Here is a 14311-nt window from a genome sequence, read left to right on the forward strand (position 1 = left end):
CATATAGCCCCTACCCTCACACATGGACAGCCTTCCAGAGTGTACAACTGTTGTACAATGAACCTATATTGATACATTATTATCACCCAAAAGTCCAGTTTATGTCAGAGCTCACCCTTGTTGTTGTCTTCTATGAGTTTTGACAAACACATAATGCCATGTATCCCTCATTACAGTAACACACATAACAGTTTTCACTGCCCTACATACCCTCTGTGCTCCACCTAGTCATCCCTTCCTTCCCCTCAACACTTGGTGACTTCTGTCTCCATGGTTTTGCCTTTTCCAGAATGTCATAGAGCTGAACTCATACAGTACGTAGTTTATTCAGATTGGCTTCCTTTACTCAGTAGTAAGCATTTAAGATTCCTCCATATCATTTATATCATTGATAGCTAATTCCTTTTTAGTACTGAGTAATATTCCATTGTCCAGACAGTTTATTCATTCAGCTACTGACGGACATCTTGGTTGCTTCCAAGTTTTAGAAATTCTGAATAAAGCTGCTATGAACATTTATGTACAGATTTTGTGTGAAATGTTTTCAACTCATTTGGGTAAATACCAAGGAGTGCAGCTGCTGTATGGTATGGTATGTAGGTTTAGTTTTGTACGGGACTTGCCAAACTGTCTTCCAAAGAGGCTATATACCATTTTGCATTCCCACCAGCAGTGAATGAGAGTGCCTGTTGCTCCACATCCTCATTCAATTCTCTCCCTTGATCATATTTTTTGTTTCTGTACTTCACTGTGAAAATTTTGTTCTGGTGTGCTCCTGTTCATTAACACTATTTCGCTCTATTTAACCTGCTGTTAACCCATTTATTAAAGTTTTATTTTGATTATTCAATTTTACATTTTTAGAAATTCTGTACAGTTCTACTTTAAATGTAGTTGGTTATTTTTAAGTATATCTTGCTTCATTATTCATATTTTCAACCCACTTGTATTTCTTTAACATATAAAACACACTATAGGCAAGGCACGGTGGCTCACGCCTGTAGTCCTAGCACTTTGAAAGGCCAAGGTGGGCAAATCATTTGAGTCCAGGAGTTTGAGACCAGCCTGGCCAACGTGGTGAAACCCTGTTTCTACTAAAAATACAAAAATTAGCCGATGTGGTAGTACACACCTATAATCCCAGCTACTCTGGAAGGCTGAGGGAGGAGAATCGCTTGAACTTGGTAGGCAGAGGTTGCGATGAGCCAAGATCGTGCCACTGCACTCCAGCCGGGAAAGGCGTGAGCCACTGCGCCTGGCCAGCTGGTTTCAAACTCCTGACCTCAAGTGATCCACCCATCTCAGCCTCCCAAAGTGCTAGGATTACAGGCGTGAGCTACCACGCCCGGCCAGCAGCAACTTTTAAACATTTTTTGGACCATCACTTGAGGTCAGGAGTTCAAGACCAGCCTGACCAACATGGTGAAACCCTGTCTCTATTAAGAATACAAAATTACGGTGTCTCATGCCTGTAATTCCAGCACTTTGGGAGGCTGAGGTGGGCGGATCATGAGGTCAGGAGATCGAGACCATCCTGGCTAACATGGTGAAACCATGTCTCTACTAAAAATACAAAAAACAAAATTAGCCGGGTGTGGTGGCGGGCGCCTGTAGTCCCAGCTATTCGGGAGGCTGAGGCAGGAGAATGGCGTGAACCCGGGAGGCAGAGCTTGCAGTGAGCTGAGATCGGGCCACTGCACTCCAGCCTGGGTGACAGAGCAAGACTCCGTCTCAACAAAAACAAAAACAAAAACAGAAAAAAAAAAAGAAAAAGAATACAAAATTAGGCCAGGTGCGGTGGCTCACGCCTATAATCCCAGCACTTTGAGGCCGAGATGGGCGGATCATGAGGTCAAGAGATTAAAACCATCCTGGCCAAAATGGTGAAACCCTGTCTCTACTAAAAATACAAAAATTAGCTGGGTGTGGCGGCACACTCCTGTAGTCCCTGCTACTCGGGAGGCTGAGGCAGGAGAATCCCTTGAACCCAGGAGGCTGAAGTTGCAGTGAACCCAGATCGCGGCACTGCACTCCAGCCTGGGTGACAGAGCCAGACTCCATCAAAACAAAACAAAACAAAAAAACCTACAGTTATTTGTCAAGCAAATAATATACCCCCAAAAAAAGAACAGCTCTTTGTGAAGCGAATAATGTATCAAAATTTTACTGTTTACTATATGCCAATGATGAAATTATTGCTTTTCAGCTCAAAATCTGCCCTGCAGTACCTGCTCTGTGATAACGGAATCCTAGGCCCTTTAAGCATTTCTCTTTTGCAGTGAGTATGATGCTAAACTTTGTCACAAGGTGTTGGAGGAACAATGCAGGTGGAAGGGAGCTTCTCTTTCCGGTTTGGTGAGCTTTTTTTCTTGCTCCTGCACCATGGGCCATCAGTGATTAATATATGTTGGGGTGTCTTGGGGCTTCTCTGCCCTAGTGGTGCGGCCAGGACATGTAGTCCCTCAGTGACTTTGCAGCCTTAGCTTGGCGACCACTTTGCTGCAGGCTTCCCAACACGCATAGGGCACTCCAGGCCTTATGCCCTCAGTGGTAACCTGACTTCCTGATGGTCATTTCCTGTCACTCTCCTGAAGCAAAAACCACATGCTCCAGGCCTTGCATCACAGCAGTGCCCTACCTCCGTCTGCAGCAGCCTTATCTTGTCTATGCTTGAGAAGGTGGTTGTTATTTCCTGCTTGCCCAGCTCTGGCCTCTGCAACCCACCCATCCAATGGGCTGCAACCTCACCTTCTCCAACCAAGTCTCAACTCCAACCTTGAGGGAGGTGGTGTCCCTTCCAAGTTTGCCCTTCCTAGGGTACTCTCCCTTAACCCGAGTGTACCCTTCAGGATTCTCTTTACATTTAAGGTTACTCCCTGTCATAGTTTAATGTTTTATAATAAACTTCCCCTGTCTAAAATACTGTGTGATTTCTGTCTCCTGATTGGACTTGAACCAATACGTAATACTAAGGTAAAAATCCTAAGAGCTAAATTAGGTTGCTACTAAATATGTTAGACCAGTGGTCTTTAGTGTACCTAAAAACTTTCCACAGAGTACACGAGAACCCGGCTGTAGGAGAATCAACCACTCAATCTTTAATTTCTATTTTTTCTTTATTATTATAATTTTTTTTTTTTTTAGATGGGGTCTTGCTCTATTGCCCAGGCTGGAGAGCAGTGGTGCGATCTCGGCTCACTGCAACCACCGCCTTTTGGGTTCAAGCGATTCTCCGGCCTCAGCCTCCCCAGTAGCTGGGATTACAGGTGTACGCCACCACACCCAGCTAATTTTGTATTTTTAATAGAGATGGGGTTTCACCATGTTAGCCATGCTGGTCTCGAACTTCTGACCTCACAATCCACCCACCTCAGCCTCCCAAAGTGCTGGGATTACAGGCATGAGCCAACGCGCCTCGCCTTATTATTAATTTTTGTAGAAATGTGGTCTCACCATGTTGCCCGGGCTACTCTTAACCTCCTGGGCTCAAGTGATCCTCCCACCTTGGCCTCCCAAAGTGTCGGGATTATAGGTGTGAACTACCATACCCAGCTCAATCTCTAATTTCTAAAAGTGATACATCTAAGAAGTGTCCTGAATTGCTCTTGCAGGTCTCTCTGTTCCCACAAATTCTCTCAGAACAGCTCCTACCCATCCTGAATTCTTCTTTGATACATCAATCAAAACACTCATTTTGCTAAGCCCTTTCCAGTGATTAATGAAATCACCATAAACTTGTCTTGGGCTTTTCTTTTCCTTTACTACACATTATTCAGTTAAGAGAGAAGAGTGCCTTTAGAGATTGGGTATTAGGGGCTGAGCACGGTGGCTCATGCCTGTAATCCCAGCACTTTGGGAGGCCAAGGCGGGCAGATCACATGAGGTCAGGAGTTTGAGACCAGCTTGGCCAACATGGTGAAACCCTGTCTCTACTAAAAATACAAAAATTAGCTGGGTGTGGTGGCGTGTGCCTGTGATACCAGCTACGCGGGGGGCTGAGGCAGGAGAATCGCCTGTACCTGGAAGGCAGAGGTTGCCATGAGCCGAGATCATGCCATTGCACTTCAGACTGGGCAACAAGGGTGAAACTCCTTCTCAAAAAACAAACAAACAAACAAACAAACAAACAAAAAATTAGCCAGGCATGGTGGCAGGTGCCTGTAATCCCAGCTACTCGGGAGGCTGAGCCACGAGAATCACTGGAACCCAGGAGGTGGAGGTTGCAGTGAGCCAAAACTGCACCACTGCACTCCAGCCTGGGTGGCACAGTGATACTCTGTCTCAAAAAAAAAAAAAAAAAAAAAGAAATTGGGTATTTGGGCAATTGGACAATTGATTTCAGGTATCTCATGGAAAGGAGTTGTCAGAGTGACTTTGCCTCGTTCACCTTGATTATCATCAAATAATGTCTACTTAAGAAAAAAACCTTACTTAGGAAAGAGAGCTTCAAACACTAAAAATAGCTTGTTCGTGTATTTAATTATATACAATATTTTTTCTAGCTATTCTCACTTCTCATTAACAATATGTCATCACTTAGAAAAGTTCCACTCAACATATACATGGGATCGGCACGATGGCTGACACCAGTAATTTGGGCACTTTGGGAGGTGGAGGTGGCCAGATCACTTGAGCCTGGGAGTTCAAGACCAGCCTGGGGAACATGGCAAAATCCCATCTCTACTAGAAATACAAAAATTAGCTGGGCATGGTAGCACATGCCTGTAGTCCCAGCTACTCATGAGGCTGAGATAGGAGGATCACCTGAGCCCAGGAAGTTGAAGTTGAAGCTGCAGTGAGCCATGATCATGCGTCTACACTCCAGCCTGAGCGAGACCTTGTCACAAAACAAACAAACTGTAACTATATATATATCAAGATGTTTACTGGGACTACCAAACACTTGAAGTGTACAAAACCCACAGAAAAAATTTAAGTAATTTCCTTTGGTTAAGGCATGAACTTTTATCAATTCATATAATGAAATATTTAATTCAAGTAGTCAGTCCCTTCTGATCTGATCCTATAAGATGTTGTAATTCTTTTTTTTTTTTGAGATGGAGTGGCTCAATCATGGCTCACTGCAACCTCCACCTCCCGGGTTCAAGCGATTCTCCTGCCTTAGCCTCATGAGTAGCTGGGATGACAGGTGCCTGCCACCATGCCTAGCTAATTTTTGTATTTTTAGTAGAGACAGGTTTTCACTATGTTGGCCAGGCTGGTCTTGAACTCCTGACCTCAGTTGATATACCCGCCTTGGCCTCCCAATGTGCTGTGATTACAGGCATGAGCTACCATGCCCGGCCAGATGTTATAACTTCTATCCCCATTAACAATACCAAAAAGTACGTGATAAACTGCCCTGCCAATTGGTTTGTCCAATATACTTTTCTCTTATATTAAATATGAAAGCAGGCTGGGCTTGGTGGCTCACTCCAGCCTGGGCAACAACTACATCTCAAAACTACATCTCAAAACAATGAGTTTTTTTTTTATGTAGAGCAAAACTACATCTCAAAAAAAAAAAAGAAAGCAATCATTGAGACTTATATAAATCAATAGATTTAGTTCTGATTTTTACAATAATTCTGAATCATTCTTAAAAGTCTAATACTAAAGTGGCTGGGCACGGTGGGTCACGCCTGTAATCCCAGCACTTTGGGAGGCCGAGGTGGGCGGATCACGGGGTCAGGAGATCAAGACCATCCTGGCTAACATGGTGAAACCCCATCTCTACTAAAAAAATACAAAAAATTAGCCGGGCGTACTGGCGGGCGCCTGTAGTCCCAGCTACTCGGGAGGCTGAGGGAGGAGAATGGCGTGAACCTGGGAGGCGGAGCTTGCAGTGAGCCGAGATCGTGCCACTGCACTCTAGCCTGGGCAACAGAGCGAGACTGTGTAAAAAAAAAAAAGTCTAATACCAGAGTTTAATTCATGTATGCATACACATTTAGTAAAGCAGTATCATGCTTTCTACCATACTCCTCACTTCAAAACATACAATGCTTTATTATAAATTTAGAACTGAGAAATAATATTTTCTTTTTTTGAGACCCAGCCCAGGCTGGAGTGCAGTGCCGCGACCTCGGCTCACTGTAACCTCCGCCTCCCGGGTTCAAGCGACTCTCCTGCCTCAGCCTCCCGAGTAGCTGGGATTACAGGCGTGTGCCACTACCGCCTGGCTAAGTTTTGTATTTTTAGTAGAGACAGGGTTTCACCATGTTGGCCAGGCTGGTCTCAAACTTTTGACCTCAAATGATCCACCCACCTCAGCCTCCCAAAGTGCTTGGATTACAGGCGTGAGCCACTGCTCCTGGCCTCATGTTGTTTTAGTAATGCACAGGTTGGCACTATTGGGTTATTAAGAACATCCATAACTGAAAATCCAAAATCTGAAATGCTCCAACATCTGAAACTTTCTGAGTGCCAACATGATGCTCAAAGGTTATGTTCAAAGGGAATGCTCATTGGAGCATTTGGGATTTTCAGATGAGGGATGCTGGTAAGTATAATGCAAATATTCCAAAATCTGAAAAAATCTGAAGTCTGAAACATTTTTGGTCCCAAGAATTTGGAGAAGAGATAGTCAACCTGCATTATTAAAATGGATAAATGATGACTTTAAGACTTTTAGAAATATACCTCACAATTTGTACTCCATAATTTATTTCTCAGTGTTTTATATCATTTTCCTGAAAGGATAAATTAACATATTTACTTGAATTGGAAAACAGAAAAGTCAGGAAGAATGATTTGCTTGATGGGCTTAAATAAAAGATTGCTTCCACCAATTAAATTATATGCCCAGGCTTTTCCATAAACTTAATGTACTAAAATCTGCAGCTTCAAGGGTTTTTTTTTTTTGACAAAAGTACATTTGATTAATAGCATTTTTATCAAAAGACATCCTAGGTTTAGGCAAAGATTTATTAAAAATTTTATTTTTCTCAACCCCCTTTCTGTATATTGGAATGAATAAGGTACCTCTAAGGGAAAGAGGATCTGGCATTTGACATTTGCCGGACCCTTCTCGGTCTGCGCCAGACACTGAGACAGTAACTGCCACTAATGCCTGGGCAACAGAACCTTTGTGACTGAGTGCTTTTCAATCTTTTGTTTTCCTTAAATATAATGCTAGATCACTCTATGATTTTTTGGCATATAACTTGAAAGAAGTGGAAATAATTGAATGACTTTACTATATTAAAACTCTTTCCTCTCCCAACTACTTATTTATGTAAACAAGGTTCTTCAGACATATAAATGCAAGAGAGAATAGAACTGATAATGAATCCTATTTCATTCGAGTAATAAATACTACCCGATCTCGGATATCTGAAATATTTTTAAAATTTCTCTTGAAAAGACATACAATAGATCAACAAAAGAAACATAAGACAAAAATACAACGTATTAAGATAAAGATTATGGTACAGAAGTGGAACATCAATCATGACCCTAACAAATGATTATTTTATTCGTGTTGTGTGAAGCACTATAACGGAGGTAGTACACATTCTTTTCTCAATTAGACTGTACAGAAATCTTTTTTTTTGAGACGGAGTTTCATTCTTGTTGCCCAGGCTGGAGTGCAATGGCACGATCTCGGCTCACCGCAACCTCCGCCTCCTGGGTTCAAGCGATTCTCCTGCCTCAGCCTACCAAGTAGCTGGGATTACTGGCGTGTGCCACCATGCCCAGCTTATTTTGCAGTTTTAGTAGAGACGGGGTTTCTCCATGTTGGTCAGGCTGGTCTCAAACTCCTGACCTTGTGATCCACCCGCCTTGGCCTCCCAAAGTGCTGGGATTACAGGCGTGAGCCACCGCGCCTGGCCCTGTATAGAAAGCTTAAGTGTTGGGAATTCTTATTCATATTTTACAGGGAAGCTCCTGAGAGACCACTGTCAGGCTTCCATTTGCTGATAAGAAATGGAGAAGCAAAATCGATCAGAAGAAAATATAAGTTTGGCGATTTTTTTTTTTTTTGAGACGGAGTTTTGCTCTTGTTGCCTAGGCTGGAGTGCAATGGTGCGATCTCGGCTCACCACAACCTCCACCTCCCAGGCTCAAGCGAATCTCCTGCCTCAGCCTTCCCAAGTAGCTGGGATTATAGGCATGCGCCACCAAGCCCGGCTAATTTTGTATTTTTAGTAGAGATGGGGTTTCTCCGTGTGGGTCAGGCTGGTCTCGAACTCCCGACCTCAGGTGATCTCCCCACCTCGGCCTCCCAAAGTGCTGGGGTTACAGGTGTGAGCCACTGCACCCGGCTTGGAGATCTTTTTTAAGAAAAACTAAACTTAGGACTTTTAGGTCCTTTTCCAGTTTAGTGCACAGAGTATTTAGGAGCTTGAGCTCTGGGGTTGGGTAAATCCTGTGACACACAGAAATCACATGTGCCAGCATCAATGCTACGACCTAACACAGGTTCATTTGGAGGGTTTACTAAGATTATGTAGGCAATGTATTAAAATGTCCTTGCTTATAAATATCTAGCGACATTACTAATTAATTCTTTAGGATAAATTCCTAGAAATGTAATAAATGGCTCAGAGTGTAGGACCATTTAAAGGGCAATTATATTATGACAAACAATTTTCCAAAAAAGTGAACCTAGCTTGTAACAGAGAAGGAGCTCACCTTTTGGGTCGAGGAAGGCCCATGGGGGTAAGATTAGGATCTGGCCTAGGAATGGTTTTCCGGATGCGAATCTGTGAGACTTTCTTTGGCCTCTTCTCTGGCTCAGCCTATTTTTAAGGATTAAGAAGAAAGATGGTCAAGCTGTAAGACATTTTATTTATATATTTTTTGAGACAAGGTCTCACTCTGTGGCCCAGGCTGGTGTGAAGTGGTGCAATCATAGCTCACTGCAGCCTTGAATTCCTGGACTCAAATGATCCTCCTGCCTTGGCCTCCCAAAGCGCTGGGGTTACAAGTATAAGCCACCGTAACTGGGAATTTTTATTTTTAGATGGGGTCTCGCTATATTGCCCAGGCTGGCCAGGAACTCTTGGGCTCAACTGATCCTTTTGCCTCAGCCTCTGCGGTAGCTAGGACTATAGGTGTATGCCACCACCCCTGGCATATTGTAAGATATTTTAAATATATAAAGTCCATCTTGACACTTAAAACATTGCTACCTCACTCTAGAGATGACTCTATTAAGCAGTTTATGACAAAGCTCCCACTTCTATTCCTGCTTTTTTTATTATTTATTTATTTTTTTGATAGAGTTTTGTTCTTGTTGCCCAGGCTTAAATGCAATGGCATGGTCTTGGCTCACCGCAACCTCTGCCTCCCAGGTTCAAGTCATTCTCCTGCCTCAGCCTCCTGAGTAGCTGGAATTACAGGCATGTGCCACCACGCCCGGCTTATTTTGTATTTTAGTAGAAACAGGGTTTCTCCATGTTGGTCAGGCTGGTCTCAAACTCCCAACCTCAGGTGATCCGCCCACCTCGGCCACCCAAAGTGCTAGGATTACAGATGTGAGCCACCGCATCTGGCCTTATTTATTTTTTGAGATGGAGTCTCACTCTGCCGCCCAGGCTGGAGTGTGGTGGTGCAATCCAGGCTCACTGCAACTTCCACCTCCTGGGTTTAAGCGAATCTACTGCCTCGGCCTCCAGAGTACCTGGGATTACAGGAATGTGCCACCACATTTGGCTAATTTTTGTATTTTTAGTAGAGATGGGGTTTCACCATACTGGCCAGGCTGGTCTCGAACTCCTGACCCCGGGTGATCCGCCCGCCCTGGCCTCCCAAAGTGCTGGAATCACAGGCGTGAGCCACCGTGCCCGGCCTTTTATTTTTTTTTTAAGATGGGGTTTCACTCTGTCACTCAGGCTGGAGTGCAGTGATGCAATCTGGGGTCATTGCTGCAAACTCTGCCTCCCGGGCTCAAGCAATTCTCCCTCCTCAGCCTCCCGAGTAACTGGGACTGCAGGTGTGCACCACCACAGTCAGCTCATTTTTGTCTTTTTTGTAGAGACACAGTTTTGCCAGGTTGCCCAGGCTGCTATTGAACTCCTGGACTCAAGCGATCCGCCCGCCTCAGCCTCCCAAAGTGCTGAGATTACAGGCGTGTGCCACCGTGCCTGGCCCCTGCTGTGTTTTAAGCAACTACTCCCTTCATATCATCAAAACAAGAATTGTACATTCAGTTCAGATATTGAGACTGTCAACATGAAAGTTTGCAACTGTTGAAGACAACAGACGTTGCAAAATTGAACATCATCACCATCCACTCATCTTCTTTGAATGCACAAAGCAGCTCTTTCGTCCAATTCTCTAAACACTGTTACATGCTGTTGGCAAGAAAAAAGTATCTGGAAAACAATGCAGATTAAAAAATCCACTGTGTCCTTTACTGGCCAAGAGAAAAACTCCTGGCTTAGTACTCTCCAGAACTCGGCTGACACTGAAGGTGGTACGTAAAGATACTCAGAAGCCAGTCTGTAGCTATAATGCGATGTGAGTTGACAATGGCCACCTCCAATGCCACCATCATCTGACCCAACCAGCACTTTACACTTACCTCTTTCTGTTCTGGGGGGCTGCTCTGTGGGCAGGGGCATGCTGCTTTCACACCATCCAGCTCATCCAATCCACGAACCTGGAACTCAGAGGCTGAAAGCAGGAGCTTGCTGACAGCTGATTCTGCTACCAAGCAAGACTTTGGTACCAAGGCAGGGAATGGAGGCTCCAGCCTAGCACCATGAAGAGAAAGAAGATATGAGAGGGGTTCCCTTTCTACTTCCAGCACATTCAACTTCTTCTTCTTCATTTTTTTTTTTTTTTTTGAGAAGGAGTTTTGCTCTTGTTGCCCAGACTGGAGTGCAATGGTACGATCTCGGCTCAATGCAGCCTCTGCCTCCCGGGTTCAAGCAATTCTCCTGCCTCAGCCCCTCGAGTAGCTGAAATTACAGGCATGCGCCACCACGCCCAGCTAATTCTGTATTTTTAGTAGAGACGGAGTTTCTCCATGTTGGTCAGGATGGTCTTGATCTCCCGACCTTAGGTGATCCACCCGCACCGGCCTCCCAAAGTGCTGGGATTACAGGTGTGAGCCACCACGCCCAGCCTCAACTTCTTAACATCTAGGCCTCAATACTTTTTCTTTCTTTCCAGAGAATAATATATCCAGTCAACCTGCATTCTAGTCACTTCCAGACATAGCCTGTATCTACATATGTAAAAAAATTACAAGAATGTGTAATCCATTTTATTGCTATGGAATTTTATAAGGAAAAATGTAAAAAGGAACAGACTTTTTGGGTGAGGAAGATATCTGGTAAACCGCACAAATGAACAGTACTCAGATAAGATCAATCCTGTCCAGGGACTGAAGTTGGCTGTTAAGACATGAAATAGCTTGAGAGGGGACTTCTGGTACAATAAGCTGGTTAGTGATTTTCACTTTTTTTTTTTTAACAAATTGTATTATTACACATTCCTAGTTGCTGCTTGTAATAGAACAGATTTCAATCTCAGAAATGTTTATCTGAGAGACATAGATCAGGTTTACAAGGACAAGAGGTCAAAGTCATGCCACAGACGATCCACACCACCTATGTATGCACTCTCTCTCTTGCACACACACACGCACACGCGCACACACACGCTGAGTCTCATGTGCTTACCTCGTCTGACTGCCGCTGGTGTTATATGTAGCTTCCATGCCTGGAAGAGGCACATATGGTAACATGGTGTGGCTAAAGTAAAGCAAAAGTACAAAAGCAATAGGTAAGGGCAGTGGGATAACAGGAAAGGTTTTGATGTTATTGTGGGTATTAGCACATGATAGCCCCAAGAAGACAAGAAATGTCAGTTACTCAGAAAGAGGAAAGCTTTCCAACCAGGAGAGTTATATTTATGTGCCCATCACTGGAATGGAGGCAGACTGACAGGAAGATTATTTTCTAACTTGAATGGAAAGAAGGCAGAGACAGAAAGAAAGAACAGTGGCTGGGCAAGGTGGCTGATGCCTATAATCCCAGCACTTTGGGAGGCTGAGGTGGGCAGATCGCTTCAGCCTAGGAGTTCAAGACCAGCTTGGGCAACATGGCGAGACCTTGTTTCCACAAAAAATACAAAAATTTAGCCAGGGGTGGTGGAGTGCACCTGTGGTCTCAGCTACTCAAGAGGCTGGGGTGAGAAGACTGCTTGAGCCCGGAAGATCAAGACTGAAGTAAGCCAAGACTGCACCACTGCACTTCAGCCTGAGTATCAGGGCAAGACCCCATCTCTAAATAAAAATAAATTTTAAAAAATTTAAAGAATATATTATACCACTCAGTTGTGTACTGACTAATAAAATCTGACAGTTTCTATAACCTTATAAAATATTAGAGAGAAACCAATTATTTTTTCTTTTTTTGAGACTGAGTCTTGTTCCGTTGCCCAGGCTGGAGTGCAATGGTGTGATCTCGGCTCACTGCAACCTCCACTTCCCGGGTTCAAGAGATTCTTCTGCCTCAGCCTCCCAAGTAGCTGGGACTATAGGCGCGTGCCATCATGCCCGGGTAATTTTTGTATTTTTAGTAGAGATGGGGTTTCACCATATTGGCCAGGCTGGTCTCAAACTCCTGGCCTTGTGATCCGCCCACCTTAAATTCCCAAAGTGCTGGCATTACAGGCATGAGCCACCGCGCCTGGCCCAATTATTTTCTTTAAAGCCAAGTTACACATAAAACATAGCTATACAGCCGGGCACAGTGGCTCACACCTGTAATCCCAGCACTTTGGGAGGCTGAGGTGGGCAGATCACTTGAGGCCAGGAGTTCGAGACCAGCCTGGTCAACATGGCAAAACCCCATCTCTACTAAAAATACAAAAAATTAGCTGGGTGTGGTGGTGGGTACTTGTAATCCCAGCTACTCAGGAGGCTGAGACAGGAGAATCGCTTGAACCCGGGAGGAGGAGATTGTAGTAAGCTGAGATTATACCACTGCACTCCAGCCTGGGCGACAGAGGGAGACTCTGTCTCAAAAACCAAACTAAACAAAACAACATAGCTATATAGAAGAAAATTAATGGCCAATCGTAGTGACTCACACCTGTAATCCCAGCACTTTGGGGAGGCTGAGGCGGGTGGATCACCTGAGGTGAGGAATTCAAGACCAGCCTGGCCAACACGATGAAACCCTGTCTCTACAAAAATACAAAAACTAGCTAGGCATGATGGCACATGCCTGCAATCCCAGCTACTTGGGAGGGTGAGGCAGGAGAATTGCTTGAACCCGGGAGGGTGAGGCAGGAGAACTGCTTGAACCCAGGAGGCAGAGGCTGCAGTGAGCCGAGATCACACCACTGCACTCCAGCCTGGGCGACAGAGCAAGACTCTATCTCACAAAAAAAAAAAAAAAAAAGGAGAAAACTATTAAAAGTTTAATTCCTTTATAATTAAACTCTTCCTTTTTCTTTTTTTTGAGACGGAGTCTCACTTTGTCACCCAGGCTGGAGTGCAGTGGCGCGATCTCATCTCACTGCAACCTCTACCTTGTGGGTTCAAGGAATTCTCCTGCCTCAGCCTCCGAGTAGCTGGGACTACAGCCACCTGCCAGGATGCCGGGTTAATTTTTGTATTCTTAGTAGACACGGGGTTTCACCATATTGGCCAGGCTGGTCTCGAACTCCTGACCTTGTGGTCTGCCTACCTCAGTCTCCCAAAGTGTTGGGATTATAGGCATGAGCCACAGTGCCCGGCCTGCTAGAAACCATTTGTAAGCTTGTTTAGAAAAACAGCAAACTTCTGGCCAGGCATGGTGGCTCGCGCCTATAATTCCAGTACTCTGGGAGGCTGAGGTGGGTGGATCACCTGAGGTCAAGAGTTTGAGACCAGCCTGGCCAACCTGGTGAAATCCTGTCTCTACTAAAAATACAAAATTAGCCAGGCGTGGTGGTACATGCCTGTAATCCCAGCTATTCAGGAGGCTGAGGCAGGAGAATCGCTTGAACCCGGGAGGTGGAGGTTGCAGTGAGCTGAGATCGCGCCACTGCACTCCAGCTTGGGAGACAAGAGTGAAACTCTGTCTCAAAAAAAAAAGAAGAAAGAAAAGAAAAACAGCAAACTTCTAAACTCTAAGCCCAGGCACATGATGTTAAGGTATTTTTAGAGCCAATGAAAAGTATCTACAAATACCACCCCCTCTACCTTCCATTTGAATTTAAATAAAGTAAAATAAAATAAAAAGCTAGAAATAGGGAGGGAAACAGAAAATTTTCAACACCAGGAAACAGAAACATGAGGTGGGAAAGAAAGAGCTCTCGAAGACGAAAAGGGGCAAAAGGGTTACACCTCCACAGGGTGAAATGA

At 44.5% G+C, this 14311-nt stretch overlaps 1 protein-coding gene across 1 annotated transcript in view, besides 1 other annotated feature; it reads right to left on the reverse strand.

The window, feature by feature from the left end:
* The window catches only part of PRR14L (proline rich 14 like), a 68786-nt gene that overhangs the window by 11672 nt on the left and 42803 nt on the right, over positions 1 to 14311 (reverse strand). Inside the window, exons 5-7 of the mRNA NM_173566.3 lie at positions 11637 to 11708; positions 10532 to 10703; positions 8638 to 8744 (exon numbers count right to left, since the gene is read on the reverse strand). Of these exons, the coding sequence (NP_775837.2) occupies positions 8638 to 8744; positions 10532 to 10703; positions 11637 to 11708 (351 nt within the window). The remainder of the gene's footprint in view (positions 1 to 8637; positions 8745 to 10531; positions 10704 to 11636; positions 11709 to 14311) is intronic.
* Positions 2019 to 2520: an enhancer, noted in NCBI's record as "H3K27ac hESC enhancer chr22:32091023-32091524 (GRCh37/hg19 assembly coordinates)". NCBI's record gives its function as "activates a minimal SCP1, AML or CMV promoter by ChIP-STARR-seq in primed H9 embryonic stem cells {active_cell/tissue: H9 hESC(primed)}" and the evidence as "EXISTENCE:reporter gene assay evidence [ECO:0000049][PMID:30033119]".

The sequence above is a fragment of the Homo sapiens genome, chromosome 22 (genome assembly GCF_000001405.40).
Source record: "Homo sapiens chromosome 22, GRCh38.p14 Primary Assembly".
NCBI lineage: Eukaryota > Metazoa > Chordata > Mammalia > Primates > Hominidae > Homo > Homo sapiens.